The sequence below is a fragment of the Homo sapiens genome, chromosome 1, assembly GCF_000001405.40.
Source record: "Homo sapiens chromosome 1, GRCh38.p14 Primary Assembly".
NCBI lineage: Eukaryota > Metazoa > Chordata > Mammalia > Primates > Hominidae > Homo > Homo sapiens.
The window spans coordinates 169,203,195-169,223,840 of NC_000001.11; the positions used below are offsets into that span (position 1 = coordinate 169,203,195).

General features: G+C 36.0%; 1 protein-coding gene across 3 annotated transcripts in view, besides 1 other annotated feature; it reads right to left on the bottom strand.

The window, feature by feature from the left end:
• The window catches only part of NME7 (NME/NM23 family member 7), a 235,267-nt gene that overhangs the window by 70,664 nt on the left and 143,957 nt on the right, over positions 1-20,646 (bottom strand). The gene's annotated exons all lie outside the window — the stretch shown is intronic.
• Positions 12,723-13,291: an enhancer, noted in NCBI's record as "NANOG hESC enhancer chr1:169185155-169185723 (GRCh37/hg19 assembly coordinates)". NCBI's record gives its function as "activates a minimal SCP1, AML or CMV promoter by ChIP-STARR-seq in primed H9 embryonic stem cells {active_cell/tissue: H9 hESC(primed)}" and the evidence as "EXISTENCE:reporter gene assay evidence [ECO:0000049][PMID:30033119]".

Genomic DNA, 20,646 nt, shown 5'->3' on the forward strand with positions numbered 1-20,646 from the left:
AAAGCCTGTATGCACATTAGGAGGATGAGCTGGAGCTACCAGAAATTCATGCCTTATGCAAATGAGACACCCAGCCCTCAATGTTTTCTTATAAAAGTCTTTGTATTCAACTGTACAAATGGTAACCCTCTTCTGGGCCCTCTCTCCCTGTCAGAGAGCTTTCTTCTTGTGCTTATTAAACTTTCACTCCAACCTCACTCTTTGTGTCCACGCTCCTTAATTCTCTTGATTGTGAGACAAAGAATTCTGGGTGATACCTCACAATGAGAGACTGCTACACTGTGGTGCACTGGTGAGACTGCAACACCATGTTCACTCTAGGGTGAAGATTTAACATTTGAATGTATTACAATTAGGCCTTATAAATCAAAAGGTAAAGCAGAGGACATAAAAGCCCTCTGTGCTCAGTCTCCGTAGAATGGCCAGAACCATTCTGTGGTTGGTGGTCTCTAATCAGGAAGGAATGCTGGTGGGTTGCCCTGTCAAAACTACAGAAGGGAGGGCAGCAATGGTTTATATGGTTGATATCAGCAGTGGAGCAAGTTTTTCAAAATGGCTAGTTTCTCTTTAACCCTTAGGGAAGGCTAATGATGGTTAGCAAAGGAGTAGGTATAATGAGATGTGTCTGATCCCGCATCCCCTCATGGCTGGGAACTCGTTTATTTTCGTGTTTTGTTTTTGAGACAGGGTCTTGCTCTGTCAACCAGGCTGGAGTGCAGTAGTTTGATCAAAGCTCAGTGCAGCCTTGACCTCCTGGACTCAAGTGATCTTCCTTCCTCAGTCTCCCAAGTAGCTGGGACTACAGGTATGCACCACCATGCCTGGTTAATTTTTCAGTTTTTGAAAAGACAAGATCTCACAATGTTGCCCAGTTTTGTCTTGAACTCCTGGCTTCAAGCAGTCCTCCCACCTTAGCATCCCAAAGTGCTGGGATTGCAGGAGTGAGTCACCACACCAGGCCAGGGAATTTAGCTTTTAAGGTTTCTCTGGGGTCCCCTTGTCCAAGTGAGGGATCTGTTCAGTCAGTAGGGAGCTTGGGATTTTATTTTTATTTCTCAAATGCCTCAGTACTGGCTGCCTCTCCTCCTAAACTTTCACTCAATCCATACTAGATATTGTCACATAACTCTTACTTTGATCACATGACAGTGCTACTTTGTCAGTAACCTTCAATGGTTTTTCATGTTTATTAAGTAACAAAATTCCCAGCCTTGGACTCATTATGATGCTAATATCTCTCTAGCTTTATTGTCTACTATTATACTATATCCAATGCTTCAAACTAAATTACTCAGCCTTGCAATCTCAATGCCTATGTGACATAATCTCTCATTTTAAAAGTACAGATTCCCATTTCAGATTATAGAAATTCTAAGTATTCCACAGGGTTCACCTTCTTTCAGATGTCGCACTCTCTCGGAAACCTTACGCACTTACTCCAGAGATGTAAGCACTTTCCTTGAAAATCTTATTCACAACCTGTATCTCTCTTAAAGCATTTATCTTACTGTCAGATTTATTTTGCCATTGTCTGTAAACTTATCTTTTCTTACAACAGTTTGCAAGCAAAATCTAGTAATGCCTTGACTACCACTACATTTCAATAAATAATTATTGACTCAATTTTATTCAATTTTGAACTCTTATCAAAGCTCTCAAATTTGCTATCTGTGTTCTTTGGGCAAGCTTAGTATCTTTACAGATGGTGTAATTCCATTGGAAGTTTCTTTTCTTTCTTGAAGGTCATAAAACAAGGATGGCCCAACATCTCATACTGAAAACAGTTTTCCATCTAATTTTTTGATCAACTATAAGATTATTCTATAAGACCAAAGCAGGAAGCCTATAAATATATATTTACTATTGTCACACTAATAATTAGTCTAGCAAAATAGTATGCTTATGTTATTGTTCTTTAGGATAAACTGACAATGTAATGTTGCAGTTTACTTAAAAAACAATACTTACTATTATAACCACACTTTTAGTTTTTTCATTTACTAATTCACTACTTTCTATAATCAGAGTCAGTGTCAATTGTTTTCCCATGATCTTATGTAATTTGAGCTTTAGCACCATCATCACATATATGTATGAAAAGAATAAGGTTCCAGATCTAAAGGCAACATCTGGTGCTTCCTTTCCTCAATTACTCTCCTAAAATCAAGACATAGGAACAAGGTTGCCCAAAACTCATTCAAGTCTTCCCATCTTGCCCATTATGTGTCAAATAGTTGTGTGGTACCCTCACAGCATGTATCCTAGGCTCTGAGAAAAGTAAGAAAAATCCATATTTATGGAATATTCTAAGAAGTTTGCCCATATTAGCTGATATAATCCTCACAACCGGCTTATTCTTTTTCCGTTTTATTGGTGAAGAAACAGATTATATTTTACAGATGAAGAATCTCAGGCGGCCTGGCTCTAGAGCCCACTGCAAAGCACCACATGTCAAGTACTGGCATTCATTATTCATTCTTCCTGCTTCTGCTCCGGCCCCACTTTGTCTATTCACCACATGGAAGCCAGCATTATTGTGTTAAAACATGTTAGGTTATGTTGGTCCTCTGCTCAAACTCTGCAATGGTCCCCTTCTTACTCAGAGTAAAAGCTAAAGTATTTTCAGCAGCTTTCCACGCTCTATGTGATCTTCTTTCCCATCCTGTATCTCTTTGACCTCACCTCACACATTCACTCCACTCTGGCCACACTGTCCTCCTGACTTCTTCCAATATACTAAGCATACTCCAGCTTTGGCACTTGCTGTTCCTCCAGCCTGGATTGCTAGGTGACTGTCACCCTCATCTCCTTCAAGTCTGTATCCAATGTTAACTTTTAAATGCAGCCTTCTCTGTCCATTCTACTTAAAAACTATAAATCCCTCCCTTTTCTGGAAAACCCTATTTCCCTCCCCTGCTTTATTTTCCCCTACACACTTACCATCATATTATATATTTTACTTATTTATTCCGCTCCTGATCTGTTTCCCCCCAACTAGAACGTCCTCTGTGAAGATAGATTTTATTGTTTGTTCTTTTGCCACTGTATTTCTACTGTATCTAGAATAGTACTTAGTATGTAGTAAGTCCCCAGAAAATATTTGATGAATTAACTAATTAATTAATTCAAATATCTATATGGAAGTTGGAGCTGATGTTGAGAGACTGAAAAAGAATGGATGGCTACAAGTCTTACAAGGAGGAATACCTCAGAGGCCTGGAACACGGAGGGTAGGGAGGATTAATACTAGGACAAGGAATAAAAAGGAAGAAGCTGTCTTGGGTTAATGCTTGGTCTTCAACTCCAGGGATTCTTATTTGACCTTTGTGTATCTTCCTTTAGGACTAGGGTTCATAATTTTGTCTTATGCAAAGACAAAGTTAAGAACCTCTTTTGGCAGCCTGATGGAGCCTATGAACCCTTCTCAAAGCAATGTTTTTAAATGCATAAAATACATAGAATTGCAGGAAATTAATTACTCTAAAATAAAATTATCAGAATATTTTATATTTTGTGATATAATGTACATATTTATTAAAATGTAGCAGCTGATTTAATAACTCTTATAATTTTAAAATAGCAATGACTGTAAATGATGTTTTAAGATATGTACAATTGTAATGCAATGTGAAAATGTTTGCAATTTCTGGTGGTTGCTAAGTTAACTACTATATTAACACATAGCTATAACAGTGATTAGTTGTTTATATTTATGGAATTCTAATATTCAGTCAGATATTAGTGAAAATAAACACGATTCTTTTTTTCTCATCCAAGTTCACAGACCCCTTGTCTTAGTCCGTTTGCATTGCTATAAAGAAACATCTGAGGATAGGTAATTTATAAGGAAAAGAGGTTTATTTGGCTCATGGTTCTGCAGGCTATACCAGAAGCATGGTACCAGCATCTGCTTCTGATGAGGGCCTCAGGCTGTTTCTACTCATGGTGGAAGGTGAAGGGGAAGTGGCATGCAGAGATCACAGGGTAAGGGTGGAAGCAAGAGGAAGAAGGGAACGATGCCAGGCTCTTTTTAACAAACAGTTCTCAAGGAAACTAACACAGTGAGAACTCAGTCATTACCCTGAGGATGCCACCAAGCCATTCATGAGGGATCTGCCCCCAGGACCCAAATGCCTCCCACTAGGCCCTACCTCCAATGCTGAGAATCACATTTCAATATGAGATTTGGGGGAGTCAAGCAAACCAAACTAGAGCACCCCTGAATTCTATTCCCAAAAGCCATAGGGGTCTGTAGACATCAGGATAAGAACCTTGCTCTAGGATTAGTCTCAGGGTACACCCAAGGGGGAAGAGGATCAAAATTAACTACACCTTCACTATCACAGAAGCAGAAGGAAAAAAAGAGACAACAAAGAAAAACAAAACAAAATGATTTTTTTCCAAATTCCTTTAACTAAAGGCAATCTTTTTCACCTTATAACTAGAAAATAGTCTGAAAAATGCAAGTATTTATGAGTTTTGGTGTATCAGTATGAATAAGCTTTAATAACAGGACAATGTTACTTTCTAACATTGATGAGAAATTCAAAAGCAGGAAAGCATAGAAGCCTCCAAATCAGTGCAAAGATCTGATGCGGTGGGGAAGGGAGGGTGCTGGAGTGAGTAGTCTGGAAATAAAGAAAACAAAATAATGAAGGCTAGATTTATGGAGTCCTGTTTATCTTTTTTCTCTTCCCTAAAAAGTAAAAGCTATGTTTCAAAGTTCTTTATGTTCTCTTCAAGGTCCCTGAAAGCAGCTTAGCAAGAATTATGGTCAGGAATTTCTCCTTATCCTGGTTGTCATCTGTAACTTTTGGCAACAAAATTGGAAAATACTTCATACCAGATGCCCTCTTTTGGAGATTCACAATGCATGTCAGCATTTGACATGTTCTAGAGTCCTTTAGTACACAAATCTGCTTAACTTCATTTAAACCAGTATTTCTCAATCTTATTTGATCGTAAATTTTTTTCCATTTAATATATGTCTATTATTGCAATTATAAGACTTTATTGCAATTATTGACAATACAATTCTTTTCTTCAACTAGGACATAAATTCCTCTGGCTCAGCAAAGGTGTCTTGTTCATGTTTTCATTGCTAGTACTAAGAACTATTAATACTTCATATGCACTTTGAAAGTCTGTAAATGTTTGGTTGGTTAGTGGTTGGTGGGTTGGCTGACTGAATAAATGAATAAATCAGAGACAAAAATACTTCAGGCCAACTTTACTGTGTATATTATCTCTGTAACATGTCAGGAACCTTTAGAAGCCTTTTGAAGTAAGTTTAACAGTGAAAAGGATAACAAAGAAAAAATGGCTGTTAACAGCTAACTCCCCAGTGGAAATCTACATACATACTTATGTTTAAACCAAAATAATAGTAAAACTTTCCAGAAGAAAGGTATATTTCTATTCTAATCATTTCTGTAGCTCTGAAAGTAGAGATTATAGTGTTAATAATTCAAAGAGCCATTTCATTTGCATTCTGTGTAGTAATAAGTGTAACATCTCAGCAAGTGTCACAATTCCTAGAAGTAAATTATGTTAATTAATTAGTAGGAAGGCTTAAAGGCCAAAACTGGAAATAATCCCAAAAAGTCTCTAAATGTTGCCTTTAATTACTTAGATCAAGTTTATGGGTGATAATAAAGTAATACAAAGATCCATAGATTTACAGGTTTGGAAAAATACATATATATTGGTTGGATTTCGATCCTGTAAGGTTATAAAGAATGTGTTTCCATAGTCCATCTGTTTTTAGATTTTAGTCAATTAATTCCATCCACACATGAATCTCCACAGCAGAACTAATAAGAAAGCAACATCTGCTGGTTATAGTAGGGTGAAATATAGCATTTTTTGTTTTTACAAAACTTGAGTTTTTAAAAAATCTACAAAATTAAAATTAACACTGAAGGAGCAGCATAAGACCTCATTATTGCCACACCACTACTTTAAGAACAAAACCAGACATACTCAAGACCTTTTTCATCAAAGACTAGGGGGTTCCAAATTTACTAAAACCTAATAGATGCCAAAGTTAAAATAGTTTAAATTCAAGATTGCATGCATTTTTGCTATTTCTACCTCCTGCTTTTGAGAGTAAAAGCTATTTATATGTACGTGATATTTAAATCTCTGGAAAAGCTCCAGAGAAACATTGAAACAATGAATAAAGGCTTTGGTGTTTTAATTACTGTTACTGTATATATTCCAAAATAAAACAAACATTTCTATCAAGAATTTCTTCATCTATAGTAAATAAACTATGTACTTGCTTGTGCCCATGTCCAAATTACCAAGTTCTTCCAGTTCTCCTTCCAAAATATATTTCAAAACCTTCCACTGTTACCATCCAAGCCCAAGGTCCCATTATTTCTAGTCCGATTTCCTTTATTTTCCTCCAACAAATTTTCCACATCATAGCCACAGAGCTTTTTAAAAATACAACCTAGATGTCATTAATTCTTTATTTAAATTTTCCATGGAGCTTCCTGTTGCACTCAGAGTAAATATAAACTAGTTAATGTGGCCTTCATACTCTGGCCTAAGCAATCTCTTTAGTTACCTTGTAGGCTACTTTCCTCTTTGCATTGTAGGCTAGAGCCAAATTAGACTTCCTTGAATTCCTAGAATATGCTAGGTTCTCCCCAGATTTAGGGCCTCTACAGGCTTCAGAATAAATGAAAATCTTTCAGGAATTCCTCTACTTCAGCTAAGCTAGAGCCTCCTGTTATTAATATAATTTCTTGCACAATTATCAGATTCTTCTAAAAGACTTGGCATAGTTGTAATATATACAACTATGTAATCATTTGTTTAATAACAATATTCCTCACTAGACTATAAATTCCATGTGGACAGAGCCAATGTCTATCATGCTCAGTCCTCAATACCCAACACCCACAGTGTATTTAATAATTTTAGTCAAATAAAACTGAGTAAATCTCAATCTAACAAAAATGGAGGTAAAAGGGCAAAAATCCCTTAAAGTGAAATTTATTTCTAGTTTACCCAAGTCTGTATACCACAGGGAATCTCTGAGAGTTTTATTCCTAAGACTTTTCTATATTCTCCACTACACTAGAAGATATGCCTGAATATATGAAAGTATTGTTGATATTATTCCAATTATTGCTTGAGACTGAAGCCTCCATTCCAGAAATGTATGTGTCAACCTAGAACCTAGAGAGCATCCCAATGCTTGGTTCCTAAGTGAGGTAATAGTAAACATTATCGTGGCAAAATAATTCTGTATCAGATGTGTTGGTGCCCCGTGGGGGTTGGAACATTGGTATTCATCTAGAAACTATGTTCTAAGTTTGTTGTTTAGATAGTCCTTCTGTGGTAGTTTCAGATGCTCTAGAACAAATCATTCATAATATTTAAATACACACACACACACACACTCCATCAGAATAAAGGAGTACACTGTAAATGCAATGTGCCAAAACAAGAACAATATGTTACTACAAAATGACAGTTACTACAAATTTGCCAGTTACGTCATAATCACAAATAAAATGGGGAAAAAAGAAAGCAGGGGATGGGGAGGAGGTTCTGTAATCAGAGGCAATATAATACCTCTAGAGAATCACACACTGAACAATTATCAGCTACCCTGCCCCAGTCGTTCTCTCCCGTTTCTGCTTCATTCCCCTGGCCTCATCGGGGCTTCCTTCCCCTTTGTTTGCAGGCCACATTAAATAAGACTTTTAGGTATATTCCAGGTCACGGGACTATCATATTCCTACCATAGTCTATTGAATCCCTCATATAGATCATAAGCTCTTTTTTTTTTTAATTTTTCTTTTGCAAGCTCCAGTTCAGCTCCAGATCATTAGTTCTTTCAGATCAAAGAACATATCTCATGTTTTCCCTTTCTTTTTTAAATTCCAGTTTATCAAAGCATAATGTTTTGCTTGGAAGACTGTATGAGAGGATACAATTACCATATTTGGTGAACTATATGATGAAGTAATATTTAAAATAAATCTGGAAACATAATAAACATTTTTGTAAAATAATTTACCACAGCACTATTTATCATGTATCTGTTAAAAATGCTGTTTAAATGGTTTTATAGGGGAAAACATTATTTTGTTCCTATATTTACAGTATGTCATACCTAGGAGGCTGAGATAGTATAAAGTTCTTTTTGCCTTTAATCCAATCAGTTAACGTTTCTCTGGGTTTTGACTTTCTATCCATAATACAAGTAATCATGATATAGGAAATATAAGGTAAAAACTGTCATCTATCTTGTTGCTTTTGGATCAGCTTACAGCTAAATCACCTGGAAAAAATATTATGCAATCTCTACTTTTAAAACTTAACAGAGAATACTTTTCTATTTAATTTTCAAAAGTCATTAGATTTGCACATGTTTTATGCCCTGGTAATATTGTGATAGGATCACGAACATGTAATAAAACAATATGATATAATGGTTAAAGGCATGAAGTTGAGAGCAACAATGTGAAGATTTGAATCCCAGTTATGATACTTAATGGCAGGAACAACCAGAAAAGAGAAAAATCTTCATTTAAAAAATTTAGTTAAAAAATCCACGCATTACAAGAAAAGGATATATAAAATTCCAAACCTCTGACTTGTAAATTTGAATTACATCTTCTGCTTTTTCAGGAAAAGATTGCCGTTGATTCAATACTATTATATTTGAATAAAATTTTAATTTTCATAGAAAAATATGATACAATATTGTTTTATACAGTAGTTTAATGTCAACTGCTGTTTGTTACTCTCTTACTAGGTTGCAATGTTTCTTCTTTTTATATTCACAGAGAGAGTAATTATTTTCAACAAATTTGGGGATTGAGCATTATTTAACACCAAAGCAAAAGAAATCCAAGACACACAGTTATTCTGAAATCTAAGTATTTTCTAGTATGTAATTTTTACTAATTGTATTAAACCCCTTTCAGCCACCTCCTCTTCAAGAGAAATTCTTTTCTTTAGCCAGAATATTTTATTAAATGAAAATATTTATTTTAAAAATTAGTTGCTATTTACTTTGCTATTTACTTAATAAATTTGTTTTACTTAATAACTTTACTTAATAAATTATTTAATAAATTGCTATTAAATACTTTTAAAAAAGTCATTTAAATTCATTGTTAAAAAACATAGAAAATATAGTCAATCCCCACTGTTTGTGGATTCCATGTTTGTGAATTTACCTACTCACTGAAATTTATTTGTAACCCCAAAATCAATATTAATAGCACATGTATGGCCATTGGTAGACATGTGCAGAGCAGCAAAAATTTGAGTCACTCAAATGAGTACTCATGAGTACTCCCAAATGAGGGTGAACAAGGTGACACTCTCTGCCTTCTTATTTTAACTCTCACACTTCACACTTTAAAACAAATGTCCTTTTTTTTTTTTTTTTTTTTAAGTCAAGGTCTTGCTCTGTTGCCCTAGCTGGAGTGTAGTGGTACTGTCATGGCCCACTGCAGCCTTTAAGTCCTGGGCTCAAGTGATTCTTCCATCTTAGCCTCTTGAGTACTGAGTAGCTAGGACTACAGGCACAGGCCATCATGCCCAGCTAAGGTTTTTTTGTTTTTGTTTTCGTTTTAAATATTTTTAGAGACAGGGTCTCACTATGTTACACAAGTTGGTCTCAAACTCCTGGCTTCAAGTGATCCTCCCACCTCATCCTCCCAAGTTGCTGGGATTATAGGTGTGAGCCACTATACCTGGCTATAGGTGTCCTTTTTGCAGTGTACTTGGTGTTACATTTTTTGCATTTTTGTATTTTCTGTTGGTGACTTTACTATTTAAAACAGTTCCTGAGCATAGTGCCGAAGAGCTGTCAAGAGTCCTAAGTATAACAGTGCTGTGATGTGCCTTATAAAGAAAATATATATGTAATGCAGGCATCATTCAGGCATGAGTTACAGTCATGCTGGCCATGAGTTCAATGTTACTAGATCAACGATATTTATTTAGTGTCTTTAAACAGAAATACACACAAAACAAGGTTATATATTGATCATTAATATATTTGTTGTGACCACAGGCTCACAGGAACCTAACTCTGTATTTCTCCTAGGAACAATAGTTCAGTATTCACCAAGTCAGTGTTCATGGTAACTTTATAGAACTTAACTACTGTAAATAATGAGAATGAACTGCACAGGAGTAAAAAAAAAAATCTCACCCATAGTACTACAGCCTCGAGTACCTCTTCCACCACATGGTTGCCAATGCTGGATTTTATCTATTTTTTTAAATTTTGCCAACCTCACTGGTTTAAAAAGTTGTATTATTCCCCTTTAATATGCATTTCCCTGATCAATAAGGCTGAACATATATGAAATAGGCATCTTTCCTGTGTATCACTCCCCATTAATTTTTTCTCTTTTTTGTCTTTCTTAAGTACAGAATTATAACCAACTAATCTTTAAACATGCCAAATGCTAAAGGAAGGAAGAGAACAAGAACTGAAAAATTTTCCTGGTCTTTAGCTGGTTGATTGTCCAAAGAGATTTGGGTCAGTGTTTAGCTCTGGCCAAAAGAGACCCATCCTGGTCAGACAGCAGTTGAGCTGTCTCATAAAAACAATAATCTTGGGAAAAAATATAAAAATAAAATAAATAAATAAATATATATATATATACACACAAACATACACACACATACAGGGTGTAAGCTTGTTAAGCTAATTTCCAGTTAATAGGTGCTCCAGATTACCCAGTGCTATACATTCATTCTCTTTGTAATACATATTGATTGGTGGTAATGAGCCCACAGATGTCCACAGCAGTAAGCTTTCTAGTATGTACAAGCATATCTTTTGAAGATCTATACAGTTAATTATACTGATCTTGGAATTTCAAAAGTGAATTATGAGAAAGGAAAACCTTAGTCCTCTTCAGGCTTTGTAGTTTAGGGGACAAACCAAGTATAAAGAATGAGAAAGTGCTCTTCAAGATAAAACGTAGGAAGACATGTTAGAAGCAAGTGGTTTGGAAAGGGAGCTTATATCATGGATTAAAATTAGATGAGTAGACATCCAAGAAAAAAGTCTCAATATTGATCTCCATTGTTAGCCCCTTTGAAAAGACTGGTCTTTCCTTTCCTAACCTGCTCTCTGAGCCTGCTGAAGAAAAGAAGGGAACAGCCTTGTTTGAAACATGACTATAGAACCCGTGTGGCTCTTCTGAGTCCCCTGAGTTCCTTTATTGATTTCAAAACCATGAAGGCTTTTGTTTGAATTTTTGCCATTTCAAAAAATGATAATAGGTCCAAGTTATTGTTAAATTCTCATAAGAACATCAAACATTTTCTGACTAGAAGACACTAAACATCTGGTATAATTTGCTTCTTAGGATAACTTTATTTAAAAAGAGAGGAAAGAGAAAAGAAAAAGGCTTTGTAACTTTCTCCAGGACCATGTCAAGAAACAAAGGTATTGATAATGCAGGATATTTTCTTGATCCCTTCATGAGACCCATGACAGCGGTGCCCCATTTACTCAGCCTGCCATGCTCAATGCCTTGTGGGAGGGCATGCGTAGGTGAGCAAATGCAGGAACCAGCTGGCCACTTTGGCACCGGCAGAAGCAAACTCCATGCAGGCCCTGTGGCAGCATCCAAGTGGGGGTGCCTGCAATGCCAAGACCCCAGAGGGTGTGTTACAATGCTCTCTTAGCTCCACCACCTGTGGACAGCAGTGTGTTACCAGCTCAGTGGGCCCTTTGCCTTATGTGGGGCAGCTGCCCTCCGCCAGTGAGGGCAAAGGGCCAGTGTGACAGCCTTTTTGGGTATTCACACTTGGTGGGCCCCGAATTCTTGTCTGGTGCCCAAGAAGAATGAAGTCACACAAATGAATTGAAGGATGGTGAATGCGGATAATTTCACTGAGCAATGAAAGTAGCTCTCAGTGGAAAGGGGAGCTGGAGGGGAAGGGAAGGGCAGATCTCTCCCCTGAAGTCAGGTTGCCTCTCTCCCTCTCTCCTTGAAGTCAAGCTGCCTCCTTCTGACATCCAGCCATCATCTCTGAAGTCAACTCACCTCTTCTAGATATCCAGCTGCTTCTCCCCTCTACTGGCTGAGTCTGGGGTCTTTATAGGCACAGGATGGGGGGCAGGGTAAGCCATAGGTAGTTTTGAAAAAGGCAACATTCAATTTGTAAAAAGACATTATTCAGAAAGAACCAATCAGGAAAGACCAGGCAAATAGGGATAGAAGTTCTCACTTTGGGCCACGGGTTTCAGGTTTTTTGGCTTGAAGGTGAGGCTTCACCAGGGACTCACCCCTGTCTGCCTAGAGTTTCTCTGCCTCCTACCTCTATTATTATTTATTTTGTTGTAAAGAGAAGTGACAGGTACTAATGTCAAAATGAAACAAAAAAAAAAGGAGAGGTGACTCATTTTTTCAAGGTTGCTAAATACTAGCTTAGCATCTTATTTGAGCTTTAGAAAGCAAGGCCCACCTGGGAAGCCAGAAAACAGTTAGTTTTAAAGGTAGGCTAAGGCAGATGAATGGATAAGTGATGAATGGTTAAAGAAAATGTGGTATACATATACAAGAGAATATTATTAAATCATAAAAAGAAGGAAATCCTGCCATTTGTGACAATATGAACATGGAGGACACTATGCTAAGTGAAATAAGTCAGAGAAAGACAAGTACTAAATGATCTCACCTATGTGTGCAATCTAAACAAGTCAAATTCATAGAAATTGAGAGTAGAATAGTAGTTGCCAGGGCTTGGCAGATGGAAGAAATGGAGAGATGATGGTCAAGGGTATAAACTTTCAGGTATAAGATAAAAAAGTTCTAACTTCTGGGAATCTAAAGTAGAGCATACATACTGTACCTGAAATTTGCTAAAAGAGTTGTGATATTGTGAAATATACATTTGATCTTTGTCTAAACACATTTGGTCTTAGTCCTGGGATACAACTCCTAGAATCTTTGGAATCTTCAAAGTGATAAGTACCTTTTTGTATGCTAATGAGTTTACTGATGGCTGACACCACCCAGGTAGCTTCAGAATGAGAGCTGTTCACCAGAAAGATCAATGTATGATCAGAAGGGACTTTCAGCTCTACTTCCTAACTTTTCGGGAGGGAAGAGAAGCTGAAGGTTAAAGCCAATCATCAGTGGCCAATAATTTAACCAACCATGACTATGAAATGAGACTTTCATAAAAATACAAAAGGACAGGGTTCAGAGAGCTTCCAGATAGCTGAGCAAATGAAAGTCCCTAAAGGGTGGTGCACCCAGAGACAGCATGGAAACTCCACACCCCTTCTTATACATTTCCTTTGCATCTTTATATCCTTTGTAATATCCTTTATAATAAAGCAGTAAACGTGTTTCCCTTAGTTCTGTGAGTTGCTCTAGCAAATTAATCAAACTCAAAGTGGGGGTTGTGGAAACTCCAATTTATTTATAGCAAGTCAGTAAAAGCACAAGCAAAACAATCTGGGAATTGCAATTAGCACAGGAAGTGGGGGCAGTCTTGTGGAATTGAACCCTCAACCTATGGGATCTCTAGGTAGATAATGTAAGAATTGAATTGAATTAGAGGGCAACTAGCTAGTGTCTGTTGAAGAATCCGCTACAGAATTGATTGGTTGTTGGTAGGGAAAAATCCCCACACACTTCTTGGTGACCAAAAGTCACAGAGGTCTTTTCTGTTGACTGTTGTGATATAAAAGCAGAAGAATAACAGATTTTTTTTGTTTTTGTTTTTGTAGAGAGTAGCTCTTCAATGTCCTCACCACATACACAAAAGTTGTAACTGTGAGGTGATGGATGTACTAAATAACTTGACTGTGATAACCATTTCACAATATATGTATATCAAATCATCATTTGTACACCTTAAATTTTTATAGTTATATTTGTCAATTTTGTCAATAAAGTTGAAAATAATAAACCAGAGAGAAATATATGCAAAGAAATCAAAACTAAGCAATATTATACTTTATTGTTTATTCTGACAACAAACCCAAGTATAGCACTCCAATAATAACAAATAATGGAGAAGACTTCTATATTCCTAAGCAATGTCTGTTGAAATGGTCTCGACTTTCACTGTCCAATATGGTAGCCACATGTGGCTATTAAGCATTTGATATTTGGCTAGTTAGAATTGGGATGCACTCCAAGTGTAAAATGCATGACAGACTTCAAAGGTTTAGTGCAAAAAAGGAAAAAGATTATAAAATATTCCATTAATAATTTTTGTATTGATTATATCCTTAAAATATTTTGGATATATTAAATTAACTATATTGTTAAAATTAATGCCATCTGTTTCTCTTTGATGTGGCTACTAGAAAATTTCAAATGTATTACATTATATGTAGCTTGTATTACATTCGTATTGGATAGTGCTGACTGAAAACTATCCAAATTGTAAAATCTGTTCTATTTGCAGCCCCCCTTCCATTGTATTCCTTTAGTCTCAGAACTTAACACAACAGTAGGATAAAAAGTCATATAAGAAAAACGTCAAAGAAAGGAAAAGTATTTACCCCATTGCCTTCTCCCCTTTGATATATTTAGGAAAACAAGACTGTTACGTACATTTGAATCAATTGCATGGTGTAGCCTTTTTGTGCTGGTTGCGGCTTCACTGTTTACTTCCTCACCTGCCACAGCTTAAAGCAGCACTATAAGCTGCACTATGCTTTTCAATATGATGCCACTCCTTCCTCTAGGCACCAGCAGTAGTGGTAAATGTGTTACACATTTATACTTCCCTTTTCTACCCACACCACCACCACCCAAAGCTTTAATATGTACTAAATTTCCTTAAGTTTTGGGATATAGAGGATTTATGCCCCAGAAACACAAATATCTCAGACTTAAATTTTAGAAATTATGTTCTGAAAATTCCTTCACCCACCCAGATGCTAAATTCTCTTTCCCCAGGCTCAGCCTCTGCTGGTGGCTTAACTGCTTTTTTCCCTTTTATTTCTTATGTAGAACAGTTTAGCTACACTTTTAGTTTCTTACCGTAGTACAACTTATTCCCCTAGAGCCTCACCTACTTCCCTCTGTATCCTAAATGACTTTGCCTACATTTCTCTATACAAAACTTTTCCTGCTTGAAAAGAACTACTGGACCAGGTGCAGTGACTCATGCTTGTAATCCTAGCACACCGGATACTGAGGCAGGAGGATCACTTGAACTCAGGAGACCAGCCTGGGCAACATGGTGGTACCTCCTCTCTACAAAATATTTTAAAACTTAGCCAGCCATGTAGCACATGCCTATAGTCCCAGCTACTCGGGATGCTGAGATGGGAGGATTGCTTGAGATGGGGAGATTCAGGCTGCCACTGCAGTCCAGCCTGGGTGATAGACCAAAACCCTGTCTCAGAAAAACAGAAAAACAAACAAACAAAGCAAAGCAAAGAAAAAATAATAGTATTTCCTGTTAAGGCATTTAAAAAATTTTTCCAATTTTGAATTTTTTTTTTTTTTTTTTTTTTTTAGTAATATAGCCCAATGCCAATCAATGCAGCCTGCCAAAAGTCTTCATCTACAGTAGCCCTGGGAAAGAGGAAAAATCCTTTGCAGAGAATACCCATTCCCATTAGAAGTAATCTCAGTGTTTATCATTAATTCCACTGGAAGTAGGAAAAAACACAAAAATAAGAGACTAAGATTTCAGATGACGTGAGATACCACTTTTGAATGCAACTCCATCCTTAAGATAAATGCCCTGGATCTTAAATACAACTTTTTCTCCTATAAGGGTGAAACTTCTTGCTGAAGATCCAGACTTTCCTTAGGGAAACTTGAAGGCAGATGGGAGGAGCTTTAATTTCCTATAAGTAGGAGCTCTTCATTTCTCTGGAACTTTCCTTCTTTGCCAAGCCAAATTTAACTCCTTCTTTAAATTATAGCTCCAGGCATCATTTCCTCAGGGAAGCCTTTTCTGAATAGCCTATTCCCTAGGCCTCAGCCCCACCCCACTCAACACAGACTGGGTTGGGTTCCTTCAGAGTAAAATCAGTCCTCCATATCCATGAGTTAATGCATCTGCAAAGTCAACCAACCACGGATCAAAAATATTTGGAAAAATAAAAAAATTGTACAAAGTTGCAAAAAGCAAAACTTGAATTTGCCATGTGCTAAGTACTACATTGAATCCACACAAATTAAGTGATGTGTAGGCATTGTATTAAGTAGTAATAGTAATCTGGATGTGAATAGGTTCCACGCAAATACTATACCATTTTATATAAGGGACTTAACTATGCGCAGATTTTGGTGTCTGAGGGGGTACTGGAACCAAGCCCCCAAGATACCAGAGGATGGCTGTATTTCCTGAGCATTCTGTACTTCTCACTAAGATAACCTTTATCATATCTTATAATTATTATGACTTGAGATAGGATCTCACTGTGTTGCCCAGGCTAGTCTCGAGCTCCTGAGCTCAAGTGATCCTTACACCTCAGCATCTAAAGTAGCTGGGACTATAGGTATGTGTCACTGTACCCAGCCTACAATACATTATTGCAATTTATTTGTCTGATTCTCCCAGTATACTGAGAGCTTCTTAAGGGTCTCAACTCCTCTTTGAATCCCCAATAAATAAACATGATATCAGGTTCATAGCAAGTGTTTAATAAATGCCTGAATTTATGAATAGATAATGACAGTTGAAATAAATAAATATTTACTCTAAATCTCCTATTCTGAAATGCGTTCCAATATACCTTATATGATGAAGAAGCTACAGAAACTTGATGGAAGGAAGGCTAAGGAGACCTTCCAAGACAGCTTTTTCCTCATTTTTTTATCATTTTGGTTTGCCTCCTTCATGAAAGATTTTCACAAATCATGAGTTTGAACACGGACTTACATTTCAGTTACGCATGTTTTCCCCAACCTCTATACTTTAGCTTTCAACCCATATGTTGTTTTGAGAAGTGGGCCTGTACTTAATACCTCTACCTGTAAATAATTCCAATGAAAGGATAACTTATAAAGCAAATGAAAAGTTAATTAAAAAATAAATCTAATTGACCTTTTGTGGATGTGGGTGGAAGTAGTTTAACTGTACTTCTAAGCTTTTATAACTTAATATAACATCTATTTAAAAATTATAAGTGAATATAAATAAACTTTATTACAGTTCAATTTTAAGAGGTATACAATTAAAAGGTAAATTATTTAGAGTGATTAACCATCCCACTTTTCCTGGGATTGGGGGATTTCTCAGGATGCTGGTCTTTCAGTGTGAAACCTGTGACAGTCCTGGCCAAATTGGGAACGGTGTTGGTCATCCAACTAATATACGACATTGAGATGAGGGTTTTCTTTCTTTTTCTCGGTTAGACAAATGTTTCTTCATTAAACACATGATCATTTTCTCCAGGATTATTTTGTAATCACTGAATCACTTAATAGGTATTACAAGTTATTGCATGCAAATCACTTCAAAGAAAATAAATTACTAACACATAACTTTTTTTATATATACTCACTGTACTTGGATTACTTTCAATTTTCTTATGTTAAAATGCATTTAAACCACTTAATACTTTCCTGAAAATGTATTTTTAAATTATTTTTACATTTGCTAAAGTTAACAAAATGCTTATAAAATAAATTAAGTTGATTACCTAAGAAAAATGTTTCTTTTACTATAAACTAGTAATAGAAATGCTTGGCACATGTTAATCTGTGGATATGCCTGTTATCTCTGGTTAGGTATAAATGCCTTCTCTAAGCGTTGTTATGTACTAAATTGACAGGCAGGAATATGAATTCACCTTCCATTTTCTCATCAATAGAGTGAGATAAAATCATAATAGAGTAGAGAGAACTCTGTTTTATTCCATTTCTACTCCGTAGAACTAAGGATTCTTCCATTTCCCTTTTTCTATTTCATCAATTTAACCTTCATCTACTCATCCACTTAAGATAAAGAGAAAAAAGGTAAACACATGGTAAATAACACCCGACTATTTCTCACCATGTCTATTACCACCATCCTGGTCCAACTCACCATCATCTTGTACCTGGATTATAACTTCCACTCTTGTCTTTAGACTATTCTCAATACACTAGTAACAATGATTCTTTTAAAATCAAATTATGTCACTCTTCTCTCCAAACTCTTCAATAACTTATGGTCCCAGTTAGAGTAAAAGCTAAAGTCATTATGAGGACCTATGAGATCTGCCCTGTCCCTCATCTCTCTGACCTTATCTTCTACCTTGCTCATTACATGGTGTTTCTAGATTACCTCAAGCAAGCTCCTCTCCCAAGGCCTTTGCACTGGCTGTTCCTTCTGCCTAGGATGCTCTTCACTGAGAAATCAGCATGGCTGGCTTTTTCAAGAGCTTTATATGTATATATGTTTACATATATTTATACATATTCAAGTCTTTATATGCATACAAATATATGGAAATATATTTGTATACCTATATACTGTGTGCCAGGTAGTATATGTGCCAGTAGAATATATAAATATATTTATATATATTTATATACACATAAACTTGAACACACATGTGCACACACCCAAATTTTTTTGAGACAGAGTCTCACTCTGTCAGTCAGGCTGGAGTGCAGTGGTGCGATCATGGCTCACTGCAGCCTTAACCTATTACAGGCATGTGCCACCATGCCTGGCAACTTTTGTATTTTTTGTAGAGATGAGGTTTTACCTTGTTGCCCAGTCTGGTCTGTTGTTGTTGTTTGTTTGTTTTATTTTTGTTTGTTTGTTTGTTTTTAAATAGAGACAGGGTCTTGCTATATTGACCAGGCTAGTCTTGAACTCCTGCCCTCAAACAATCCTCCCACCTCAACCTTCCAAAGTGCTGGGATTACAAGCATGAGCCACTGTCCCTAGCTAAATGTTTTCTTAAATATCACTTTCTTAGTGAGCCCTTCTCTGATGACTCCAACTTATAATCAAATCCTATCTACACTTCCTTAACTCAGGTTGCTTCCTTTCTTCATTTTCCATCATATGAAATACTATGTATTCTATTTTTTATTTGTTTATTATCTGTCTCCAACTAGAATGTAAGCTTGGTGCCCTGTGAGGAGATTTTATCTCTCTGTCTCTCTCACTTTCTCATTTGTTTTGTTCACTGGTGTATCCTTGGTGCCTAGAATACTGCCTGGCACACAGTAGGCACTCAAACATTTATGAATGCATGAATGATTGAAGGGCAACTATGAAGTCCTGTAAGTCAGCTTTTCTTAGCTTCCTGGAAACTAAAATTCCAAAGTTGAAATTTTCTTTTAAAATAAAAATAATGAAATCTGTTTAAAAAGTAAAGGAAAAGGAAAAAACCCCAAGGAAATGGTAATATATTGATTCTGAATAGTAATTTGTGTCTCAGTGTGACCAAATTGACCAGACCTGCTTAGAGACTTTGTTCTGTTAAGACAATAGAGGAACCCCGGGCTGAGACCTCAGGACTATGGCGAGGAGAGGAAGGAGCTAAACAATATAATCTATTTCTTTCACATTTTCAGTGGAGCTGGCCTTGACTTCACAGACAATGACATTTTATTTATTTACTTATTTTTGAGTTGTAAAAACTTGACATTTTAAGTTTTATTTTGAAAGAACTGTAAATTTATAGAAAAGTTACTAATAGACTACAGATAATTTGTTTTTGCTATGAATCGTTCAAAAATAAGTTGCTAATCTGATGCTCCACTACCTCCAAATATTTTAGTTTATATTTCTTACCAACAACTACAGCCTCCTATATAACCACAATACAGTCTTCATACTTAGACCCTGGTGAGGTTTCACTAATTATCTCAATAATGTCATTTATGGCCAAAGTATCCTGACTTGGAATCACATGCTGCATTTAGATATCATGTCTCTTCAGTGTTTTTCAGTCCTGAACAGTTCCTCAGTCTTTATTCAACTTTGTGACCTTTATATTTCTAAAGATTAGAGGCCATGGGCATGTCATATTTCTGTATAATTGAATTCAGTTATAAATATTTGGCAGGAATATCACAGAAATAATGTTACATTCTTTTTATTTCATCCTATCTTGTGGTATATGATTTAATTTTCCTCCAATCTATGATATTCACTTTTATCACTACATTTTTTTAATATTTCTTATTGTCTGCCAGCCTATGTTAACATTATTAACTATAATGTTAAGGGTTTTTTTTTAATTAATAAATATTTTGTGGGAAGGGATTTTGAAACTATATATATCCCATTTTAAACAAAATTTTGATTAATTAATTACTATTTGTCTAAAGTCTTGGTTTCCTATTTTAGTAACAATGAATAGATTATAACGTGTTGCTATCATGATTTACTTAGATGCTCAAATTGGTTTCGATTCAACTAGTGGAACCCCTTCAAGCTGGCTTCTGTGTCCTATTGATATGTCACCATTACTTTGGCATAAAAAGATTTTCCAAGATCATATTGTATTTTGCTTCCCCTAGTTCTGGAATTTGCCATTTCACTTCTCTGAGGATCTTCATTTCGTAGAGTGAAGAATGGTATTTAGAAGTCAAGATCTGGAAACTAGGTATGTTCTTTGCTATGGAATATGTGTATGGGAATACATGCATATATATATATAGAGAGAGAGAGAGAGAGAGATGTATTTTTCTGAGTGTGTACACATACACACAT